The sequence below is a fragment of the Homo sapiens genome, chromosome 7, assembly GCF_000001405.40.
Source record: "Homo sapiens chromosome 7, GRCh38.p14 Primary Assembly".
Classification (NCBI taxonomy): Eukaryota; Metazoa; Chordata; class Mammalia; order Primates; family Hominidae; genus Homo; species Homo sapiens.
In genome coordinates, this window is record NC_000007.14 from 28550894 (window position 1) to 28576533 (window position 25640).

A 25640-nucleotide genomic window follows, 5' to 3' on the forward strand; every position below is an offset into this window, starting at 1 on the left:
GAGGCTTCAGCTTCAAGTCAGATAAAAACAACGCCGGCTGAAGGCTTCAGTTGATGCCAAATGTTCATAGGAACACAACAAGCTTTAGGGGGTAATTACTTTCTGAATACTTGATGTGGATTTGCTGAGAAACACATCTGTTATCAAATTTGCCAATGATTAATTTGATTCTTCCATTTCCACAGAAAAAGGGGCAAGTGAAGTTGATGATTACCAGTGCCAAGCCGATTGGTATATGGCATCTCCCACAGATTCAAGTATTATATTCTTGGGATAGGAAAAAAAAAAAAAATCAGTATAATCTCCTCTCACACATACATTGGATTAAACCCTATAGGATTATGTGTATAGAAAAACATTTTCTGTAATTAAATTATCTTTGGTGTTGTTGAAAAAGGTGCAGAGTTTTAAAAGTTAATGGCTTCTTTTGGAAACAGAATAGTTCGTGTTTCAGATTTTGCAAGTCCCCAAGCTTCCTTCCCCTTCTTTTTCCTTTCCTCTGATGTCCGCCCACCCCTAGCCAAATCCTTTCACAAAACACACCTCCCCTCTGTAATTCCTTCCCGGGTTCATATTCTCAGCCAACTGGTGACTAACCCTTTTTGTGTTTTAACTATTATCCAGAATATTTGGTCTAAAGCATTTGCATTTGAGCTCTGGAAAGCTCTTAGCATTTTACAAATGTTACCCCATTAATCACTGCAGCCATCAGCCTGACAGTGTTTACCTTCTATTTAAAAGTGGTGGAAAAAAGAAAGCTCTGAGTGGTCCCGAGACCTGACCAAGGTTGCTTGGTGAGTCGGGAGGGGACAAGGGAGGAGAACTCACTGTCTCAGGCCTCCCAGCTCTCACACCTGCCATGCCACACACTCCTAAAACCTGCGTAGGACCTTTGGGTCTGCAGGGTCTCAGGGTCACCTCTATGATTTTTCTTTCTTTCTTTCTTTCTTTTTCTTTCTTTCTTTTCTTTCTTTCTTTTTCTTTCTTTCTTTTCTTTCTTTCTTTCTCTTTTCTTTTCTTTCTCTTTTTTCTTTCTTTCTTTTTTCTCTCTTTTTTATTCTTTCTCTTTTTTATTCTCTCTTTCTCTCTCTCTTTCTCTCTTTTCTCTCTCTCTCTCTTTTCTCTCTCTCTTTCTCTCTTTTCTCTCTCCTCTCTTCTCTCTTCTCTTTCTTTCATCTCACTCTGTCTCCCAGGCTGGAGTGCAATGGTGCAATCTCAGCTCACTGCAACCTCTGCCTCCCAGTTCAAGTGATTCTCCTGCTTCAGCCTCCCAAGTTGGGATTACAGGCGCCTGCCACCATGCCCAGCTAATTTTTGTATATTTTGTAGAGACGGGGTTTTGCCATGTTGCCCAGGCAGGTCTTTAACTCCTGAGCTCGAGCAATCCACCTGCCTTGGCCTCCAAAAGTGCTGGAATTACAGGCATGAGTGAGCCACCAATTTATTTCTAACTAGCTTGCTGAGTTACACTTCCTGTGCAGATTTATCTCCTTTTGTTATTATCGAGGCCATCCCGAGACTATGGAGACTTTCCTCCCATGTTTCTGGTCTCTGGTACACCATGCCCATCCCCTGAGGAGGGACAGTAACTGTGAGAGAAGGGTACATCACGGGGGCTCAAAACAACAAGCAAAATGCCTCCTGCTCATAAATGGCCATCAGCAGATAGCAACTCATCTGTCTCCTGGGCAGTCTTGAGCCTTCCCCTTGACGCTCTTTAGCCCCATCTTTCAGCCACATGTCATGTTGTCTTATGACTTTACTCATTAGAGTGCCATCAGGGTTCATGCTACCTGGCTTCACTGGCAGAAAGGAATTTAAAGATGGGAAGATGGAGAAAGAAGGAGATGGTACAGGATGATTTGATCTGGAGGTCACAGTCCACTAGGGATGGCTTTTGTCCCAGGACAAGGTTGAAATGAATTATCTGCGATGAAGTACGAGGTAGGCATGATCCTGGAAATGTTTCTTACACATTAGATTACTAAAACTGCTTCCAGCTGGTCTCAACATCTCTGTTAGGAAATAGGCCACTCTCCAGCAGATGTTTCCACTGATGATAGTCAACCAGAATAGCCATTCATATGTCTCTGAGCGTGGTGGGCGCAATTCAGTTTTCTCTCCCAGCTTTCTTCATGCCAATAATACACCTTCAAGGTGGGCTACTTAGGTCTTGATGGTAAATTATAAAAACACTAAGGTCATAACATTCTCTAAACAAGAACAACTTCATCCTACTTCTATGCAGCTTCAGTTAATTTCTAAATTCCCCAGCACTGCAGGGACTCCCTACTTTCTACCCACCCCTAATTTATTTTTTATAAAACATGATCCAAATATATCATGGGAGATGCACCAGGCCTTTTCCTGACTTTCAAGTAATGCATTTTTGTGTAAACATGTTGCTTATGAAAGAGCCTTTCATGGATGCCTTGTGTTGCCTTTGCTCAAGAAAATACATTTTAAAAGAATTCTCCCCAGCCTGGCATGTAATCTTTCATTAGCCAACATAACCTTGTTTATTTGCTTTTTAAAATTTTATTTGGGAAAGGAAATCAATTTGCACCCCTGACATGCTGCCAGGTTCCTGTTTATATGCACACAATAGGCAGCTTGGAGGGGGTAAAAATATATAGTTTATGATTTCAGCATTAAGTGTGACACAATCTGTATATGAAACCATAGAGGCAGTCCTGTTTTCCTGTCCCTGCAGCCACACTGCAGTTTAAGCTTTTTATCGGAGCGTTATTTCAGTGTGCACAGAGGAAATGGTCTTAATCGTACTAGGCACTTTTAGTATGAGGACAAACTGTCAGAATGAAAGTGATTCTTTGCTGGATTTTGTTTGTTTGTATTTTCTTGTTTGTTCTTAGGAAAATACGTTAAGTGGCCGACTGGGACTCAGCCTTATAACTGGGCTATGCTTTGGGGAAGCTTGAAATGTCTTTCCAGAATAAAATGTCCTCAGGCTTCTGTGGTCAGAGATTCTTTGGCTGATGGGAGGTTGAGAGGACCCTAAGGTCAGTGTGTCCATCAAACAGAATTCCTTTCCCTTCACTCCAGTTTCCAACAGTAATATCCAGCAGATGGATATCTGCTGAACTTGACCCTCACTCCTGCCTCCTTTGAGTGGACCCCTGGGCTTTTCTCTTCCCCAAAGTGAAATAATTACCTTACTGATCCAGTGTATGGAGATCCAAATAGGAACATGAAATAAAGTAATTCCTTCCCCTTTGCAGAAATGACACTCTCTAAAATCACCCATCGTCACAAAAAAATCACTGAATTAGTAGTCAGGAGATCCAGATTCTAGTCCTACTCTTGCCTCCATTTAGATGTGGGCCACTGGTCTGGTCACACCATCTCTTTGGCCTCCACCTTCTTCTCTGTCAAGTCAGGGAGTTGGATTCAAGGCTCTCCATGGTATATTTCAACTCTGAAGTTCTGGGTGCAGGTACTGACAAGTTTCATTAAAGACATCTTCACCTCAGACTTGGAATTTCTTCCTTCCTGTCTCCCAGCTTGCATCCAAGCCAGACCCCCTGTTTTGGGTTTATCTATCTGAATTCCTGTTTCTGTTCCTGTTGGGGTGGAGCCTTCTCCCTTCCTTTTCACTGCCTTGGCTTCCTCTGTGTTAATAATTATCTTAACTTCCATGGATCTGCTTTTTTCTTTTCATTTTCCTAAGTTACCACTGAAACCTAACAATCAAATCTTGCATATTAAAAGTGTAACTCTACTGGGCAGCACCCATTTGGTTACAGACACTGTGCCTGGAGGCAGGACAGGGTCCCTTTCCATTCCACCCTGCTATTCACAAGGTCAGCTCTGGGCCACAGCCTCTTATTGGAGGCCCGGAGGGCGTTTCCAGTATTTTAAGTGACCCTTTATTTGGCTAAGTGTGCCACAAGCTCTAGGTATGCTCTATATGTGAATCTAGACTGTTCACATGAGCGAGTCAAGGAGGGAAGCGGACTTGGGGAGAGCTTGAATACAAGGAGAATCTTTCATTATTCATCTCTGCTAGTAATTAGAGGGCACTATTGAATAGATATAATTGGATCATGTCACAAAAATTAAGATAAAAGACCATAAGCACCCCATTCTGGCTCAGTGTTCCTCCCCTCTCCTCCGCCTTCACTGGAGTTTTGTTCAGCTGGTGGTAGGACTCAGCACACTAGAGGTCTTCCAGTTGTCATAGATCTATAAGCTGCATTGTGTGTGTGTGTGTGTAAATAAAAAGCTTCCTGCATATGGGTTTACCTAAACCTTTATCAAACATGGTGGTGTGCAAGGATGTTAGAATAAATGGAGCAACATACAAGACAAAGCATTCATGAGGGCTGGCAACTGTTCTCTCTTCCTGTGCCAGCAGATGTGAGATTAGTAGTTAGCTACCCAGAGAAATCAATACTAGGTACAACTGCATGATTGACTTGTAGGCAAAGCCACTTCACAAATGTGAAGATAATATAAGAAATTCAAATACTTTGTGGTTTATCTTTTGCCCTGACCATACCTTTTATCAATGATTATAAACCTTTAAAAAGGCGTTTTGTACTGAGATTCTATTTGACTTTTTAGGGAAGATTTAAATTTCTAAATCCATCCATAGGGTTTGAAAACTGTTTCATAAAGTGACTAGCAAACTATATAGGTGTGAAAAGACATCTATCTGAAAAACGTATTTCTTTACATATAGGGCTGTAATTTGATTTTTTTTAAAGTAACTGGACAACACTCAAATATTTACAAAACAGATCTTAGAGCAAAATAAAAAAAACAGGCAAACAAACACATAACTATCATTAGCATAAGAACATAAGCATCATCACAAAGGGAAAGTTACAAAGCCTTTTGTCCAGGAATTCACTTACTGAAAGCTCCAGCAATATGGGTGTTGTTCTTATGTGAATCCCTGATTCCCCTGAGATCTCATCTAGAGTTTAGGTTTAGAAATATTATTTCTTAGTCTATCAAAGAATCAGTAAATTTGTTCCACATTGAAGTTATCAGTAGAGCACAATAGAATGAAAATGAACTTAAAATGGAATGTTATAGAATGTTCCAGTTGCCGAAGACCAGGGACCTGCAGACTTAGTGGTTTTTCACAGGAATGAGAGGTTGCCAGGGAGAGTGCCTCAATAAAAATACGGATGTCACTGACATTAGCGCTTCTGCTTAGGGAGTCAACCCATATATCCTGGCTGTCTTAGGTAGAGAAATGCAGCTTCTAGATGTGCTCACTTTCCTCCTGCTCAGTAATTTTGGCAGAAAGTAGAGTTGAGCTCGGCACGGTAATGGCTTTATGGTACATAAACACCAGGTGCCAAATTCCATCTTCTGTGACTCCCACATATAAAGCTGTTCTTATTCTAAGCCCGATTGTTTCACCAGGAGGAATGTAGACAGATAGGAAGCTGTGGCCTTAAAGTGAGACCTGGTTTTCAGGGCGTGTAACTGGGTTCAGAGGAGCCACGCTTGCCCGAGCTCATCTTTGTGGGGTGGAGCCAGGTTACTTGGGCACACCATGGGATGGGTGCGTCTTAGCTCTGCCGTCTATTGTTTTTTTCAGCCCAATCATGATTTTTTAGGTGTGTGGGTCAATGCAAAGCCAGTTTATTTTTCTGTGTGTTAGGTTGATGGATGATTTTTTACCCTTCTGACTTAATTTTTCTTGTATAAATTTTCTCTAATGAACATGTGTATTATGGATATACTGGTGATAAAATAAAAATAACCTAAGTTTGATGAACACATAATTGTACTGGGTATTTTCTGATCACCTATCCAAGCCCATTCTGTCCCTTTTTGACTCTGTTCTTGCCCTGAAAGCCTGGCCCGTACACACAATCTTAATGAGCACCTTTAACTGGTGTTTTCCTGTTTAGTTTGGGCATATGGCTATGGAGGCATCACTGCAGGTTCCAGGAAGGAAGCAGGGAGACACTGGGCATCTATTCTCCTAGCTCCTTCAGTTGGCTGCTTTCTTTGACCAGGAGCCACAGCTCTGGCCACGTGCCCTCTCCCCACATGGTTCTCTCTTCTTCCCTGGTCTTACTGACTTCTCCCCAGCTTCCTCTCTCCTGAGTCCTGGTAACTTCTTCCTTCTCTTACTCTTGTAGGCCTAGGGATACTAACAGCTCCCTGCTGAAACTGGCCCCAGGGCTTTCCTACAATCTGTTCCCACCTTTGCAAAAAGTCTCTTTATTAAATGCTCCTCACATTACCCAGTTTGAAGGTACTAGCTGTTTCCTACTGGGATCCCAGATGTTAAAGTAGTCAAACTCTCTAATTGAAATTGTGCTTTTATATGCAGTCTTCTCAGACTAAAGCATCACCTTCTTTCTGTTTGAGTGCAATTTTAACAATACTGAGAAACAGTGGAATCTCACGGTACAATGAAGTGAAATGAAATTTTAAAAATTAAGGAATATGATAGCTTCAGAAGGCAGGGGATTATATACGAAAATGAATTCATGACTTTTAAAGAAGTATTTTAAAGACATGAGATCCCAGAGAAAGAAATCATAAAAGAGATCCTTGATGGTTAAGAAAAAAATAGAACCATTAGGTTTTCTGTGTGTGTGTTTTTTTTAATTCTTATTTGAAGAATAAGGATCAGAAATGATCTGGTGCTTTTGGACCAGAATAAGTGAGGGAGGATGTCATGAATGGGAAAGGATAGATTAAATAAGGGTGAAATTGGTTTCAAGGAGGCAGAGCTGTAATTTCTGATCAAGTGGTCAGGCCTCATATGTGAGCCTCATTGGAAGGTAACATTTAAGGAAACACTTGGAAGAGATGAGGGAAGGAACTGGGGATATGTGGGAAGAAGCCTTCCAGTTTAGGGGAATAGCTGGTGCCAAGGCTCCTGTGTGCTCACAGAATATCAAGGAGGTCCTTGTGAGTCTGCAACAACAGAGTGATGGGGTAGAGTAGCAGGAAATGAAATCACAGTGGTAATAGGTTATAGCATGCAGGTTTCTGGAGCACCTTACGGGAACTGTGAAAATGAAAACTACCTCAGTGACTCCTATTGCACCAGGGACCCCTAAGGATCCAGAGAACCCAAGTTGTGCTAGGAGAAATTGATGAAGTTTGCTTTCAATATTCAGACAGGATTTCTGGAAGTTTCTTTGGGCACTGTCATGCCCAGTTGTGGCCAGTGTATTATCCCCTGTGCTACATAACAAATGCTGTTTTGTTTGCTGTGATCAAGAGAAAAATGTTATCTCTTTAAATTCAGATGTCATAAAATAAGACAGACTAAGCCTCTCACTGAGTTTCTCTGTTGCATTGCTTAGTTTGGTTTTTGCTTTAAGAAAAAAGAAATACTGTTAATGACGACTAAGTTTGGTTGGAAGTAATGGTGGTTCAAAGGTACTTATTCCCCAGTAAAACACCCACTTCCCAGGGTAGAAATAGGCTGCTGAATTAACACTGATCATTAGAACAGCACAGCAGTAACTTACATTTGCAAGTACTAGACAATTTACAATGCAAGGCCATTCATGAAGAGCTACCTGACAGGTTCCACCAGAAGTGAAATGAAGCAGCAAGCATCTCTTTTCTCTATTGTTTTGGAAGAGGAAGTCTAACTTGTAGCACATTTTCCTTTCCACTGAAGATAGCATTTCTGTTTTATGTTGAGAGTATAATTTGCCAACTATTCCAGAATGCAGGTGCCCAACCAATGCTCCAGGCAAGGGAGTTTTCAAGCAATTTCAACTTAGCCAGCCCTACCCTCCAGCTCTTTTGGCCAGGAGAGAACAGGAGCTGAGAAAGGGGGGCTTGGGCAAGGGAAAGGCAAAGGCAAGTCTCTTCTCAGTTCTGTAATATATCATTAGCAGCTTTCCAGAGAGTGCTACATTTATATTTCTGGTCATTAAGTAGGTATGCATTGGAGTCTCTTTGAAATGCTGAAGAAATAGACCCTTCAGCATCCTTGTGGTACTTTTATACGTGTCCTTATTTTTAGTAACTTGGCCAATTTCTGGTAAGGAAGGGAGAGACATTTGTTTAGTAATTCTAGAATAGGCCATTTGCCTCTTGCACCGCCAGACTAGATTTGCAGTGTGCAAATGCTCAGCATTTCTCTGCATGTGCTGCGCCCCTTTCGTGATTTTAAATACCCTTTCGTCTCCCACACTACACAGGTGTGAGAGCTTGGCAAGGTCATTGTTGCCATCTGTTTATCTGCCCCACACCTGCCTCAGGACTCCTTTCCTCACTTGTTTCTAGTCACTTTGCTTTGGTTTTTCCTGTCGGTTTCCCAGTCACTTGGAAGGGCCCTCACTTCCATCAGTGGCTCTGGTTGACCAGACACATGGCAAATTGAGGAGACTGTTAAGCTGCTTGCTGGCCTCTGCGTGTTGATATGACTTAGGATAACTCAAATCAGCATATAGGTTTTTTGTTTGTTTGTTTGTTTGTTTTTTGAGACGGAGTCTGGCTGTCACCCAGGCTGGAGTGCAGTGGCATGATCTCAGCTCACTGCAACCTCTGCCTCCCAGGTTTAAGCGATTCTCCTGCCTCAGCCTCCTGAGTAGCGGGGATTACAGGCATGTGCCACCACACCCAGCTAATTTTTTGTATTTTAGTAGAGACGGGATTTCACCATGTTGCCCAGGCTGGTTGCAAACTCCTGAGCTCAGGCAATCCGCCCGCCTCAGCCTCCCAAAAAGCTGGGATTACAGGCGTGAGCCACCACGCCCAGCCAATGTTATCTTTTTAGATTAGGATCATAGGCTTAAGATGACCACGTGCCTGACTTAGACAAGAGGAAATTGTCTATCAGTTGCTGTTTAGTCACATTTCAACGCCTCAAAAATCACAGTTCATTTATCTATCCAACCAATGGTAATTTATATAGTTCTGTGCCAGGCACTGAGCTAGGTGCTAGCGATAGAAGAGAAAACAAGAGGCTGTGTTCCTTTCTTCCTGGAATTGATTGTACAGTGAACTGGAAATAGTAGTAATAACAATCGCACATTGTGAAACATGCTATAGGTGAAAGGACTGGGGTGCTGAGTAGAAGATAACAGGTGGAATACCTTTAGTTAGGGAGGTGACGTTTAAGATGAACCTGAAAAGGGGAGAGGAAGCTAATCATTCTAAGAATAAGAGGATGTCAGAGCAGAGAAGAGCAGGGCTGTAAGATAATATGTATGTTACTAAAGCTCTTTTCAAACCATTGCTTTATCTTTACTTTGTAGGTCAAAGGAAGCAAAGGTACATGATCCTCATTTTGTACTTGAGAAAATGTCATTGATTGATCAATCAACAGATTTATTGCTTAGAGGACAGGATTTAGCTAGGCAGAGAGAAGGAGAGGAAATTCTAGGCCTGGGGCATGTACAGGCAAAGGTATGAAGGTGAAAATTTGAAGTCACTAGTTGCGTAATGAATAGACCAGTGTGGCTGGAGTTTAGGGTTTGCACAGGGGATAGTGGTAGGAGATGAGGCTGGAAATATAGGGTCTTGAAGGCAAGGCTAAGTGTGGGCTTTTACTGATGGTAATGGGGAGCTATAGCAGGTTTCAGAGCTGGAGAGTAGCATTAGGAAAGTGCTGAATTACATCAATTAATTGGAGAACAGGGTCTGGAGTGTTCTGGGAGGGACTAAAAGGATTGGAAGCCAGGAACCAGGCTCCTATATCAGTAGGAAGCAATTGTATGATCAGGACAGGAGGTGACAGACCTCTAAAGCTAGTGGGATGGTCAAGAAGAGGCAAGGCAGATGTGGGAACCATGAAGACAAAATCGACAGACTGGAGAAGTTCAGCAGGATCATGTGTTTAGTGGTGGAGTTTGGATGAAAACACAGACCTGCTGACCAGCCCTTTGCCCTTCAGAACATGGTATAATTGGCTCTCGGTGACACATCTTTCTCTGCTTCCACAGTGTGTGTGCGCGTGTGTGTGTGTGCGCGCGCGCGCGTGTGTGTGTGCGCGTGTGTGTGTGCGTGTGCCTGCGTGCGCGTGCGTGCGTGCGTGTGTGTGCGTGCGCGCGTGCGTGTGCGTGTGTGCGCGTGCGTGTGTGCGTGCGTGTGTGTGCGTGTGTGTGCGTGTGTGTGTGCGTGTGTGCGTGCGTGTGTGTGCCTGCGTGTGCGTGTGTGTGTGCGTGTGTGCGTGTGTGTGTGTGTGTGTGAAGGTATTTTTCAGATTCATGTGTTTTTCATCCCTTCTCTTCCCTACTTTTCATATTCCTTCTAAGCTGGAGGCTAACTGTAGTAAGGAGAGTGCTGACTTTTTATTTTCTCTTGTTCCACAGCACTCATTGTACTGTTCTATATATTCACTCAGCAAACATCTATGTGGTGGGCATTGTATTAGGCCCTGAGGACAATGGTAGGAAATCAGACCCTGTCCCCATCATCAAAGTGTTCAGAGCTAGAAGGAAGACTGACTTGAAACATAGTATATATACCAGTGTGTTCTAAGGGCTTTGAAAGAAGTGTGTGTGGGATAAGGTGGAGGACCAAGGAGTAGTTAGCTGATACTATCTGGTGTTAGCATTGATAGTAATGATGATGAGAATAGTGATAATTAGAATAATGGCTGCTAACGTTTATTGGACAGTTAATTATCCAACACTGCATTAAATGCTATGCTTGTATTACCTGATTTAATCTTTACAAAAACCTTATCAGATAGGGTTGTCTCTATTTAACAATTGAGAAAACTGAAGTACAGAGAAGCTATAAGCTTGCTGAAGATCAGACATCATTCATTTACTTGCAGAATAATTGAATCCATTGCTATCTACCAAGCACACAGCATGGAGGCAGGCACTGGTTATTTTCAGGTGAACACATCATGTTTTCTGCTGCAAGAACAGTGAACAGTTATGTCATTTTTATTTTTCGAGATGGAGTCTCACTGTGTTGCCCAGGCTGGAGTGCAGTGGTGCAATCTCAGCTCATTGCAACTTCTGCCTCCCTGGTTCAAGCATTTATCCCTGCCTCAGCCTCCCAAGTAGCTGGGATTACAGGCACCCACCACCATGCCCAGCTAATTTTTGTATTTTTTAGTAGTGATGGGTTTTCGCCATGTTGGCCAGGCTGGTCTTGAAGTCCTAACTTCAGGTGATCCGACTGCCTTGGCCTCCCAAAGTGCTGGGATTACAGGCGTGAGCCACCAGCCCTGCCAATTACATCATTTTTAATGGCACGAGACTAGTTTCTAATGTCCAAGATTTTGGTGGATACGTCAATCACAGAAATTTGCTCAATCTTGATTCCAGTAACCCGAATAAAGTAGAGCTATTTCTCTCCTTTTAACCCATATGATTATATTTAGCAAAGACAACCAAGACAGTAATGTGGGAGATGAGAACAGAAACATGGACAATTCAAGGCATTAAGAAACTGACCAGGAAGGGGCAGAATCTTTCTTTGAGAGACACTTGGAAACTGTTTCTCACAGTCAAGGGTGGCACCTGAGAAGATATTTATTGTCTTGAGTATTCGACTACAAGATTAAATGAATAGCTATAAAATGCTCACAGGGATGGTTCAGAGCTCCATTGCCTCAAACCCAGTATTAGAAAGAATGACAGAGTTCTGGGGATTGGAGGGGAGCCTCAGCAACCTGGGCAGATCTTGCTGCTCAGGAGCTGACAGCCTCAAGTCTAGAACCTCACTTATGGGGGCCGTCTGCTTCTGGCAATGGGTGAGGGGGCTAAGGCCACTGATGATTATATCAGTGTGCAAGCTGCCTCTCTACCTACTGTGATGTCTTCCCTCAAGTCAAAGGGGAGCTGCCTATGCATGCAGCATGACTTTTAGATAAGGGACACTAATCAGACATTTTGAAATGAATTCATGGTGTATATCCAAGTTTTTCCAGCTGTAAAAGTGGTGATGATGACATTGATCCAAATTAGTGGTATGCCAGATATACTGTTGTATATTTCTCAGACCACATACCAATATTAATTAATCACTTATTTATAGTGCCCATTTGTAAGAATAACAGGCATACCTTATTTTCTACCAAGTCACTTTCTACAAAAAATATTTGTACCACAAGACTTAGAAGCAGCAGGGCTTAGTGGTGATGAGCCTGGTTAAGACGTCTGAAGCCAAACTGCCTAGAGCTGAGCTTTTCCACTTATTGGCTGTGTGATTTTGAACAAGTCACTTAACCTCTCTTTGCCTCAATGTCCTCAACTGTATAGTAACCATATATCTACCTTCTAGACTGATGATAAGAGTTAAATGAGTTTTCTGACATACAGTAATGCTGTATCAGTGTTAGCCATTATTAATATTACTAATATTAATATCAGTCATGGGGAGCAGCCACCAGACTGTACATTTTGTCTCTGAGCCTCATGTTCTGGACTTTACTGAAAGGAAAGAAGTACATTTTTGTTTTCAGACGCTGTGCTGGGACATCCGTCATCTCACATGATTCTGATGCTAATCCTGTCCTTTCGATGATTATCTCCATTTTAAAGATGAGAAAGGTATGGCTCAGAGAACTTAAATTTTGTGCCCCAGACATGATGGAGCTGATGCAAACTTGATCCTAGGTCTGGCCCATCCTAGTGCTTATGTTTTTCTTTTATACTATGGTACCTCTTGGAATTTGTCAGAGTTAAGTAGCAAACTGAAAAAGCAAAATGAATGAATGAATTAACTGCGAGACAGGGTCTCACTCTGTCACCCAGGCTGGAGTGCAGTGGTGCAATCACGGCTCACTGCAGCCCCAACCTCCTGGGCTCAAGTGATCCTCCTGCCTCAGTCTCTCAAGTAGCTGGGACCACAGGTGTGTGCCACCATGCCTAGCTAATTTTCTTAGTGAAAAAGCAGAATTTAAATATGTGTATCAAGGCTAGAGTTTTCATAGCCCCCCTGTGCTCTCCTCTCCTTTCTGAAGAGGTGACTTGAGATGGTTTCTTACCTTGTGTGTGTTTCTTACCTGCCCTGTGTTACAGTGCTGCGGAGAATGCTAGGAGGGAGAGGTGGCCTGCATGGTCCCTGGTGCCCTCCTCTACTCCATGTGTCCTCTGATACCTCACTACCCCCTTGGTCATGGGGCAGCCTGTCCTCTTAGCAAGATCCAAAAAATACCTGTCCTGATAGATAGCTCCTGAGAGCACCAAATGGAGGAATCAGGGCTCTTTAACATCTTTTCTATACCTCCAGAAAGCCTAGTAGCTTCCAGAGGGTTAGAACCTTTGTTATTCTGTGAATGTCTTGCATATCTTTTGGATGCAGTTCAGGGATGTTTACATCTGGGAACTTCTGAAAGTCTTCATAACTGCCCAGGCATCATTAAGATGCAGACAACTCTAAGATTGCACAACTCGTAAATGCGAGTTAAGATGACCCTGGCTCTTTATGGAAAATCCCATAAAGTCTCTACACAGTGGCAGTTGGATGGAATATAGATTTGCAGATAACATTTTGAGACCTTACAGGAATCAACATCATTTTGCCTATATGCTCCAACCTTCACTTTCAATTGTGGTCCATTCCCTTCATCCTTCATTACCACACCCTGAAATTATAGTTATTTTTAAAAACACGGATGTATGTTTATGTGCATCAGATTGTTTTTTTGCATTTTGTATTCCAAGCCCATGCATGCAGAAAGACAATTACCACTCTACCTCAAGCTCAGGAGTATGCAATCAAGACTCATTATTCTCCTGCTTCTCATTTCATTCACACCCTTTATGTCTCAGAACAATAATGAATGGAGAGCAAAGCATCCCAAGATACTTGAGGAAAGGAAGAAGTCAAAGGACATGCTGAGAAATGTGAATCAAAGAGGGAGAAATTTCGGTGAAGATCGTTTGTTTAAAGTGGAGCTTTCATCTTTGGTGGTTGGGAGATTGTACTTTTTGTTAGATCTGTTTCTTGAATCATGATCCCTTGGGGTTTGGCAGAAAGCTATAATTTTTGGGAGGCTCACTTCTACAAAAGCTTATGGTTATGAAGAAAAATCAACGTTTGTAGGTCCATGAATCAGAGTCTAAAAAGTCTGTTTGGATATTTAGTGTCTCATAAAATATAACATAGGAAGAGACTTGTGGAGTGTCACAGCTGGAAAAGATCATGAAGACCATGTGGTCCAGCCCCCTCCTTTAATGATGAGACTACTGAGCCCAGCGAGGTTGAATGATTCATCTAGGTTACATGGCTACAAGGAAGGGTAGACAAACTGGACTAGAATAGACCTCTTAACTCCCAAGCCTGTATATTTTCAACACTATTACACATTACTAATCATTTGGAAACATTTGAGCCAAAGCAGGAACCATGTATCATAAATGAGAGAATCTTAGCAATAGAAGAGACCTTGGAGGTCATCTGGTGCCATCTCCCTTCTGAGGCAGGAATCCTTTTGGTGACGTAGCTGACAAATGGCCACTCATCCTGGCTTAACTCTAGTGCCAGGAAGCTCAGTATGTTACAGGCAGCTTGTTGTGTCTTTGGAAATCTCTACATATTGGTAAATTTGTTCGGACAGAAGGTCATATCTGTACCTTGAAAGTATCACCCCATTAGGAGTGAGGGTGACCAGAGGTGAGTGGCATGGTATTGGTGATGGTGAGAAGTTTTACTCTTTTTCTCATCTTAAAATAAGGATAGTAATGCCTACCTCTAAGGATCATTGGGAAGACTAGAGATGTGGTTTATAAAGCATCTACCATCGTGCCTGCTTCAACGTAGGTATTCAAATTGTAATTATTATTGACTTTTATCATCATGATTACATTTTTGAAATTATGCCCTCTGGCTGGGTGCCGTGGTTCATGCCTGTAGTCCCAGCACTTTGGGAAGTGGGTGGATCAAAAGGTCAGGAGTTCAAGACCAGCTTGGCCAACATAGTGAAACCCCATCTCTACTAAAAATACAAAAATTAGCCAGGTGTGGTGGCACGTGCCTGTAGTCCCAGCTACTCAGGGGGCTGAGGCAGGAGAATCGCTTGAACCCAGGAGACAGAGATTGCAGTGAACCGAGACTGCGTCATTGTACTCCAGCCTGGGTGACAGAGCGAGACTCTGTCTGAAAATAAAAAACAAAAGAAATTATGCCATCTGGAGCAACACAGACTATGTCTAATCTTGCAAATATTTTAAAGCAGTTAGCATGACCCTTTAAATCTCCTCTTCAGACTAAATATTCTCTGATTCTTCTGCTCTTCCTGTGATATATTTTGGATGCCTTTATTCACACTTATTTGTCAATTTTCCCCCTAAAATGTGGTGGCCAAATGTGGCCAATCCAATGCACTCTACAATGGAATAATTACTTCTCTAGATCCGGATGTTTCACTTCTCCTAAAGCAACCTAGATTTATGTTAGCATTTTTGGAGGCCAGATCATACAGTTGGCTCAAGTAAAACCTGATTCTCCTATCCAGAACATTAGCTATGCCTCCCAACTTTGTGTCAACTGCAGATTTGACAAGCATGATTTTTACATCTTCATCCAAACTGTTGATAAAAAATGTTGAAGAAGAAAAGGCCAAAAGCAGCTTTGAGGAACACCTCTGGTCTTTCCCTGCATATTGACATCCATCCATCCACTAGTTTGGTGACATTGTTTCACCAGCTTCACATCTACCCCTCTGTACTATCAGAAATAACTCAGCAAGATAGAGTCACTCTTTGTGTTTTTGAAATTGGAGACTTAATTTATCTAGAGGTAAAACGCTATTTCTTTATCAATGAAGACAGGTTTTGAACCCATAATTGGGACAATGTGAACTCAGGAAGTAATTTCATGTTTGAGTTACTATGTAAAGCTTAAAGAAAAAAAAATCGCCTTCTCTTAATGTGAAGTGATAATGCTTTTGCTGGGTTGTTTATTTTTCCAAAATGTTTTGAAATTACTCTCTGGGTTTTGGAGAAGACTGGAGAATTTGCAGATTTTGTGTGTTGGGTAGAGAAGAGATTACAGGAGAGTTAGAATATGTCTTTCAGGAGCTTTTTCCATTTCTGGTAGAGATCACAGAGATGAAGAGATGCCTTTAAAGTGTTGATGAAGGAGAGTGTTGGATATATTCCTAGATAGTGATTAGTATTCTTTTTGGTGATTCTCAGAGAAGATTCTTAAACTTTTGGGGGAGAGGGGATTACTTCTTTCTCTTATTTAACATGCTTTACTCTGAAGAAATTAAACCTATTCTTTGTGCCGCAGCATAAGTCAGTTTTCTTTGTCTTTTTCCATGGTGGATGTAAACAATGGTGGTTGTCATCATTTGAGCCAAAGTGCTCAAAGATTGGAAGCTCAACTCTCAGCATCTTCCTTCATTGGCCCCTGTAACATTTTAAAAAAGGTTTTACTTTTTACTATATATTCAAGGCTTGTGGCTTTCTTCTTAATCCTGATCCTCTCTTTTTCCTCAGCCCATAACTGAACCGTAATTTAACAATACCTTAATATCTAAAACTGCATTATTGCATACTTGCAGATTGCAAGATGAACAGACAGGACATTAGCACTCTCGAAAATTGACCAGGGAACAAAAAGGTAATGTTTCATCATATGGAATATTCTAGGAATGTTATAGTTCACCCATTCACTCAATAGTTATTGAGCACTCTGATATATCAGGCACTAAGCTAGGCAATGGAGACATAATGGGGAGTAAAATCAGATTTAGTTTCTTCTCTCACTGGGCTTACCGTCTAGGGGAGAAACAGCTATTAATCAAATAATCAAGAAGAATTGTAAACCACTGTACTGTAAAGGAAAAGGAGATGGTGCCCATCACTTCGGTGAGTGTGGGCAGGAAAGGTTTGCCTACATGATGATTGATTCTGAGGTCTGAAGGTGGAGGCAGGGCAAGGGCATTGGCGTTAGAAAGCAGCATACAAGGCCCGATGCTGGAATGCAGCATGGTTAGTACGAGGGTAGGAAATATCTAGAATGTGGAATGAATCACATAGAGCAAGAGTGGAGGTGGTGTGAGTTGAGCTGGGAGGTAGGAAGGGTCCCACACGGACTTCAGAGGCCATACAAGGAGTGCTGACAGTGTCTTCCAAACCGATGGCTTAGGGTGTGTGTTCTGGGGAGTGGGTGGGAGGGGAACCTCACAAATGCTGTGTGTAATGTGATCACTTTTGCATTTTGAGATCACAGTGGCTATAGTATGGGAAAAAGGAGGAAAAGAAGCCAGAGTGCATGAAGGAGAACATTGTCTAGACAAGGATAGAAGATGATGGCAGTTGGTTATAGGTTGGTGGAAGGATGGACGGAAAGATTGGAAGAGATGAGGGACACTTAGTTAAATTTGTAGGACTTGGAAACTGCCTAAGAGGGTGATGGAAAAGAGGCATCCAGGATAATTCAAGGAGAGTCATATGTCTTATATTTTTCTTTGCGAATTTAAAGATTGTGATCTTAAAAATTAAATTGTACAGCATCAATAATTCTAAAAGGAGAGTCAAAAATGGTTCTGTGCCTTGGATCTATTATTGATAGAGTAGGTGACTATGAACAAGATGAAAAATGTTAAGTGTCTTTGAACTTAAACAATGGACTAAATGGTACCTATAGTTTCTGACCTCCTCAAGACCCAGGGAAATAAGTTTGTCAAGGTTCAGTTTCAAAAGAAATAACACAAATCATTTTTAGTCCAATTCTCTAAATCTCTAGATCCTATAAAAAAACGAAAGTGTGTTCCTGCACTGCCACCAATGCACATTGCCATTTCCTTTCATCCTACTTTACCCAATCATAGTGTTTTCCCACATCAGAAAAATTTTCCAGTGTATAAGAGAAGCCTTTGGACTGTGAGTATATATAAGCCTGTTCCTGCCTTTGGGGTCCCACAACGACACAGTAGGCTCACAGTCTAAGCCAGGTGCCCAGTTTCCATCTGGACTCCTGACAAACTGTGTGGTCAGGATTTAGAAATCAGAAACCTGGGAAAGGTGCAATGTGATGGACACAGCCACCCCAAATACCGTATATGTTATCACCATCGTTTAACACGTAGTGCAGGAAATCCTTTTCTTTGCCAAAGAACTTCAAAGGACCACTTCTAGTTCTCTTGGGTAACATTTATTTTTTCTTTGCTAACACCAAAGCGCAGACAGATACATATTTTTTCTTTAGTAAATTGCTAGTGGCACTCCATTTTTTTCCCTCCCATCTTCAACCCATTGTCCAATAGACCTCTTAAATTTCCCCACCCTTCTAGGCTGAAGAGCTGTATCTTGCCACTTATAAAGACTTACTTATTGCCCTTACCTATTACTTTGTTTGGCCAAGCACTTTCTCTTTCTTTTCTTTTCTTTTTTTTTTTCTTTTTTAGAGACAGAGTCTCACTCTGTCCCTCTGTCTGTAATGTGGAGTGTAGAGGTGTAATCCTGGCTTACTGCAGCCTCAAACTCCTGGGCTCAAGTGATCCTCCTGCCTCAGCCTCCCAAAGTGCTGACATTACAGGCATAAGCACTACACCGCTTTCTCTTTCTTTATTGGGTTCTAAATTTCTTTCTCACCTTTCGGTCCCAATGTGTTGATCAGCCTTCTCTGCTCAGTGTGAATTTTCTCTGGGTGTCTGAGTAACTTTCTTTTCTATGAAGACCTATCTCGCATATTTTACTTACTTTTGAATTTTAAACATATAAGCCTTCATTTGAAGGCATCAGAAATAAATACATGATATTAGGTCCTATAAGTGACTCAGACATCTCATGTTCTTTCACTGGTTTATTCATGCTATTAATATACATCTGTGGAATGCCTACTATGGTCCAAGCACCACGGGATAGAGTTGTGAATACAAACATCCTATGTTCCAGAGGAAAAGACATGGAACAAGTAACTAGACGCTTGATTATTGTTCTGTGTTTCCATTACTCCATGCATTGTGAGAGATGGATTTTATGAAAATACAGCAGAAAGCGGCAACTCTTATTCTGATCGTTGGATCCCATATGTCTTGTCATGTATTCCAATCACGCATCCTCATTCCACAGGTTGTTGAGCTTGTGTCCTCAGTCCTGAGATTATGATTTGGAAAGGTAGTCGTTTTCTTAAAAAATGTATATATATGGTTGGGCACTCTTATAGGACTAAAAATGAAAGGGAAAAAGCCAGTGTGCTTGTCATGCAAAGCAGGATGCAGAGTGACTATTCACTAAATCACAGTATTATGCACTTACCACAAAAATCATTTTCAAATCTGATATTCATCCTTCAAGTCAGAGAAGGCAGGCACTAAATATCTCTGATGCAAACCTCACATCAGGATGGCAGCAGAGTGGTAAGGAAACTTTAAGGCATTTTCTCACATGCTTTACTCTAAGGGTGAGTAGTTATTTTTCATCTCCTCGTAGCTGTATGTTATAACAAGATGAATGGGCCTATGGCTTGCCGGAAGCCATAACTCTCTATGTAGTTGACATGACTAGATTCCCAGTTTTGGCCTTTGAGAGCTTGAGAGTAGAATAAAAACATTGACTCCTCCTGACCTTTCCCCTGTGTCTTCTCTGGGCAGAATATCTCGATGCATAATGCAGTTGGTGGGGCCATGACGGGGCCCGGAACTCACCAGCTTAGCAGCGCTCGGCTGCCCAACCATGACACCAACGTTGTGATTCAGCAAGCCATGCCGTCGCCTCAGTCCAGCTCTGTCATCACTCAGGCACCTTCCACCAACCGCCAGATCGGGTAAGGAGCCCTCCTTGGCTGCCCCTGGGTCCTGGCTGGAACTCAGGAAATGTCCTGGACTTCCTCCTGGTTTCTGGTGCTCAGATTGGTTGGTTTTTCTGGCTGTCATGATATTGCCTAGAGCTCAGAGTGATGCTTTTGATGGGAGAAGGGAGGAGTCTCTGCTTGGTAGAAGCTGTTTTGATCTTGGACTTTGGGTGGTAGGGGTAGGGTGGGGAGCAAGTCATTCTGTGTCATCATTTCTTCAGACAAGATTTATGAACTTTAAGATGACTGTGGGAAAACCCATGGTTGTTATGGAGACCAGAGTATAGTGCGCAGAACAAACATGGTGGAGGGAAGTTCTACCAGCTCAGCCTTGTCTCCAACAGAGTGTGCCCTTCCCTTCCTGGGAGCTGCCACACTCATCACCTCATCTTCTGTGTACAGCAATCCCTCCCTGTCCGTGAGAGATAAATTCCAAGCTGCCCAATGGATACCTGAAAGTGCAGATAGTACCAAACCCTGTGTGTGATATGTGTTTTCCATCTGATAACTGAGATAGCTATTAAGTGACTACTGGGTGGGGCGTGTCCACAATGTGGACACGGTGGACAGGAGGGATGATTCACATCCTGGGGGGCATAGCTTGGGACAGCATGAAGTTTCATCATGCTACTCAGAATGGTGAGCAGTTTAAAACTTGTGAATTGTTTATTTCTGGAATTTTCCTTTTAATATTTTTGGACCACGATTAACTGAAACTGTAGAAAGCAAAACCACGGATAAGGGGGACCACCATATTTCCACAGTCGTCCCGCCCTCTGCTTATTCTTCCCTGCTTCTCCTTCTTGTAACTGCCTCCTTACTAGCCCTCTCCTTCCTGTTACTGCCTCCTTATTAGCCCTCTCCTTCCTCTACATTGGTCCATGCTGATTTCTGGAGTAGACAAAGCAAAGAAAGCAGGCCCCTCTCTCTCATTTATGCAAATGGTCAATACTGAGGCATTGAGGAAAAATTGGTAGAAAGATCCTGTCATTGAACACCAGATACTCCATGTCATGTGATGGAAAGAGCTTTCCCTTCTGGGTATCCTGTGTTAGCTCTAGCCCCTCGCAATGTGCCAAGTGTGGTCTGAGGATCCGCAGCGTGGGCATTTCCAGGGAGCTTCTCAGAAACGCAGAATCTCTGGCCCAGCTTCCTTATCCCCAGAATGAGGATGGTGTCTGCTCTTTCCAGCCTCATGAGAGTAAAGATGAAATAAAAGATTTAAGAGCACATGGGTTCTTAGGAAGAAAAGGTAATAACTTTAAGCCAAAGAGCTGTGATACAGTTCTGTTGCTGGTCGCTGAGAACTGGCTGCTCTATGCTTCCAGAATTCTGTTTAAAATGAGAAGGGGCGCTTGCTGTGTTTGGTATGTGCATCAACATTCTGTTTGAATTTTCAGTCAAATATTGGAAGTGATAATTAAAAACTTAGAAACTGCTCCACAATTTGTCAGTAGGTCTTTTCCCTCTTGTTTTTCGGTGTTATAAGAATTCCAGACCTGCAGGGAACACTGGCTTATTCCTCCCTAGGATATTCCAGAAGGGGCACCTTGTCTCACATTTTCAACTTACCAGGAATGGCTGTGATACGTTAAGACCCACCTTAAGAAATGAGAGTAATGGGTAATGGGTAATGACCATTTTGTGAGTTTGCTGTGGGTGCGTTTGGTTTTCTATTCAAGAAACAGAACATTAACCTGGCCCTTCGAATGCTCGGCTTTGTTGAAAGGAGTCAATGCTAGGTTGGTAAGTGTCTCTGCTAAAGATTTCTTTTCTTCTCAAATGACCATGAGAGCAAATGTTGCTGCTATCTAAATCAAGAACCCATAGAGTGCTAAGAGGGTGGAGTAGATTCATTAAAGACAGCATCTAAATCTCCAGGGACTTCTCTCAAGTGGCTTGGCTTTCAGCAGACAATTCACAGTTATGCCAGCTAATTATAATTATTTTATTTTTCTTTCAAGGGGAAAAAACATAAAATGTGCTAGAGTTTACTAGCAGTTTTACAGCATTCCTTCCCCCCTGGAGTTCTCCTGCCTCCCTCTCCCTGCCACCCCCCACCAACTACCCTTTTGGAGGCCCTTAGTATTCAGCCATTGTTAGCACAAAGCTGGTCTTTATGAAACAGTCTTTTGAGGGCTAGCAATAAAGTTTAAGATGAGTGCTGACTCTGTTGATAATTTACCCAGCTGGCCCAGGACTGTACATTTGGGTGACATTTGTAGGCTGTGTCACCATGCCTGGATGGAGGCGGGTGTTTCTGTGGTATGGACGCCTTTTGGACACACTCCATCTTCCCATTTATTCTCCAGCCTGGGGTGTTGTGTGTCGCTCCTGGTGTGTTCTAGGAGATAATTGTCACTTTTAGGACTCTGTCTCATTGCCAAGCCCGAGGGAGGCTATTTCTTTTATTCAGATTCCTCCCTGGTGTGTTTGCCATGTTGATTCAAACCCACACATCTTGTCGTTTCCATTTTTCTCCATCCAAAACCTTGCCCGGATGATCCTGGAGACTCAGCAAGAAATAACCCAACCCATCTCACCAGTGGATTCAGTATGAAACTCTAGGTGGTAACATTTGGGGACGGTTGACTCTTTTATTTCTCTCAGGAAAGAGGAAATGAGTACTTATTTGAAAACACGAGTTCCCTCTGGAGACTGTGTCTTTAAATGAGCATTTGAAATTGCAGATAGCTTTTTTTTTACTTTATTTTTTTTGAGGCTGCACAGAACCATATTGTAGTAATATTCTGATTTTTATCACAACCTCAAATATTTAAGTGTCAAAATCTGGCCAAGCCACCTGCAAATGTTTGCCATGGCTACTGGCCAAGAAAAACAGCAAACAGCAATGAAAGTCTTCATTCAGGCTCAGTGCTTAAGCTGCATCCAGCCAGAAAGGCTGGGACCCACCTGTGCCCACGCATAGTGCTCTTGTGCTGCGGCCAGCGGGTGTGTTCATGGCTGAGACTTTGTGGGAGAAGGGGCCACCTGGCTCCTGCTCCCCCCTCTTCCCTTCCCTTCTATCAGTGCTTGGCTGCTGCAGGCAACCCCAAGTTTTCGCTCTTCTCTGTCTCCCTCTTTTCACAGTACAAAATTTAAGCTTGGAGGCTTGAATGTATTGAGAGAGCTATCAACATAAAGGACTTGAAAATGGGAGTAGTGCCAGTTATCAGGGAGGACTTTGGGGACAAAGGGTAGGCATCCTCATAAGCATTTGATTTTCATGCTTTTTGAACAGGCACTGAGCCAAACCAGACCAAAATGAGTGCAAATGCAAAAATCCAAAGAAGTAATGTTAAAAGGAAGTAGACAAACAACACGTGCAACTTCCATTCCATACCACAGCAATCCATACCATGCCCTGCGCTCAATTCTGTGAAAGTAGTGCCATTACCTCAATAGAAACCAGAGGTAAATATAAATATCTCAAATTGCTCTTGTGTGGTTGGGCAGACTAGAAAAACACACAGCTATGGAGAGTGTGGGAGGCATCCCCAAACTAGTGACTACTTGTGCTTAGTCAAACTGGCAGACGCTCTGCCGGGAAGAGTGTCTTTGGCTGATTGATGGTAGCGTTTTCAGAGATAAGTTTCCCAGATGGAAAAAAAGAGTGAGCCATGGGCTGTGGGGAAGACAAGTGAGACAGAAAACAAGCATGTATTAAATAGAGATAAAATCGATCCAGCCTTGAACCAAATATGTGGCAGAATCCAAACAGTATCTCTCCTCCAGTCATTTTTATTAGCTATCATGTAACAGGCTCATTAATTCAGGATCAAGTCAGCAAAGCCTGGGAAAATGGCAGAAGGGTAGGTAGCACTACTGGAAGTTAACACACTCTCTCTGTCTCTTTGTTTCTTATCATCTAAGACATTTTTGTAGGAGTCAATAATCCGTTGAGTAGATGGCTATAATCTTAATAGATCCCAGCTTTCTTAACTAAGTTGATTCTTCTTTATGGATAAGTGATAGTATATAATTTACACTCAGTAATTCTTCAGGAGAGCAATGAAGATAATATGGAATTTGGAGTTCTACAAGAATGGATATCAGTACAGAGCTCTGACGGGTTATGGGAGACGCTTCCAAAATATTCTACATATTTTTTTCTTACCTTTTACTTCTTTGTAGGGCACTGGCCAAATATATCTAACATTAGAATATACAAATGTGGAGTATTCTGGTTAAGAGAATGAATTGGCCAGCTGCATCAGGAAACTCAGAAATATGTTCAACAGAATGCATATATGAAGACATTTACGTAAAAAAACCCTCCCTGATTTTACACCAATTTTAATCCTGGAACATATATTTCCACATGATGCGTAACTTAGGCATTTGGTTATAAACCCTATTTGCATGGGGCTGTAGCTAGACAACAGAGACATAAAACTTAGCCAGAAATTTATATAAAATATCATAGAAGAAAATCTTGTTTTATGTAAAGATGAAAAGGTGCCAAGACTTATAAATTGTACCTCCTCTTACCTTTTCTGTGCCTCTTTATCCCTTTTCTCTTTGCAATCCCAGATGCTATGTGTCATGCAGAATATTAGATGTAGTTCAATGGACATGGCTGAGGAAAACAAACAAGCAAACAAAGAAAAATAATAATAAAAAGAAAAGCTGATTACATCTCAAAATTTGTTGGTGGCAGAAGCAATGCTACGAGTCATGTGGCTTTGCTGTGTGAGTTCACGTTCCTGCCCAGTGTTCCCTCAAGATGGGAATGTTAATACATTTGAGGGTTTTGTGTCATTGTTGCTGGGGGTGGGGAAAGAACAGTAGAGAAGTGGGTAAATGATGCCATCACTGAAGGTCATGGCTTAAAGAAGACCTAAATGACAAAGCAGCTTACAGGTTAAGAATGTGTTTGCCCTGTCAATGCATATGCGTATGAATCTATTTTTAAGAGCTTCCTAAAGCTCCTCAAACCAAAGTGAGCATGAGTAAGACTGTCGCTATCTACCACAGGCTAATGCTGGGGATATTCAGGCCAGCCTCCTTCCTGCTGGAGACAGCGGGGCAGCAGGTCCCGGCTTGTCACTGGTCCTCAGCCCTTAGCCAGGACAACTTGAAGCCCCTTTGAGTAATGCAGACCAGAAGTCATTATTTCCTGCTTTGTGTTTTGCTGAATATCACGGCTATGAACATAGCTTTATTGTTGGAAAGTTGCTGTATCTTTCACAGCCCCGAGAACATTTACGAGGGCCCTTCTGGGGGATGCTTTCTGGGAGGGTTGACAGACTTAACCATATGGCTCCCGTTAAATCCCATGCAGAGCCTTGAGAAATTACCTCTGACAAGGGGGCCGGCAGCCTTCCACTCACGGGGTTTTATGTGTGGAACGAAACATAAAGTACTGATACTTGAGGAAATATAATGTTTCTTAACATTCAAAAGTTGTAACACCACATGGTATTGTGGTCAGATGAAGGGGGTAGAGCCAGAACATGGGAGCAAATGGCTGGGTATTCTGAGAGGCAGAAAAATACCCCAGCTCTCGTCTTCGAATCTGGTCCTTGCCTCTGATTCTTCAGGCAAGCATTGTGTCTTAGTGTCATCTCAGCTTCCCACCTGGAACACAGCAAGCCTGCTCTACTCGGGAGAGAAAATCAGAGGTAACTCCCCAATGGCTCAAGCCCTTCGTTAGAAAGGGCCTTGATACTGACACTGAAGAAGAGAAAGGAAGCTAATATTTATTCAGGATCTACTACGTGTCAGGCATTGAGCTAGCTTTGCATGTTATTTCCTGTAATTCTTCAATAGCTCAGAGAGGTAGCTGTTATTTACCCCAATATTATTGCTCCAAGAAGAAAAGTAACTTGTCCAAAGTCACCCAGCCAGGGAGATAAACAGAGTTTTGAATATGGGTCTATTGGACTCAAAAGCACATGTTTCCCCATGCTCCTGACCGTGGCAATACCAGTGCCGTGGAAGACCCATGACTGTGCCTGAGACTGGCA

The 25640-nt window shown here is 42.3% G+C and overlaps 1 protein-coding gene across 11 annotated transcripts in view, besides 2 other annotated features; it reads left to right on the plus strand.

The window, feature by feature from the left end:
- Positions 1-25640, plus strand: part of CREB5 (cAMP responsive element binding protein 5) — a 526574-nt gene that overhangs the window by 251573 nt on the left and 249361 nt on the right. For all 11 annotated transcript variants that reach the window (NM_182899.5, XM_017012807.2, XM_017012808.2 and 8 more), the window contains one exon: positions 19472-19644. In NM_182899.5, the coding sequence (NP_878902.2) occupies positions 19472-19644 (173 nt within the window). The remainder of the gene's footprint in view (positions 1-19471; positions 19645-25640) is intronic.
- Positions 22298-22592: a silencer, noted in NCBI's record as "tiled region #14916; HepG2 Repressive non-DNase unmatched - State 24:Quies". NCBI's record gives its function as "represses a minimal TATA promoter and a strong SV40 promoter by Sharpr-MPRA in HepG2 cells {active_cell/tissue: HepG2}" and the evidence as "EXISTENCE:reporter gene assay evidence [ECO:0000049][PMID:27701403]".
- Positions 23167-23216: a silencer, noted in NCBI's record as "silent region_18046". NCBI's record gives its function as "represses an Ori minimal core promoter by ATAC-STARR-seq in GM12878 lymphoblastoid cells {active_cell/tissue: GM12878}" and the evidence as "EXISTENCE:reporter gene assay evidence [ECO:0000049][PMID:35858748]".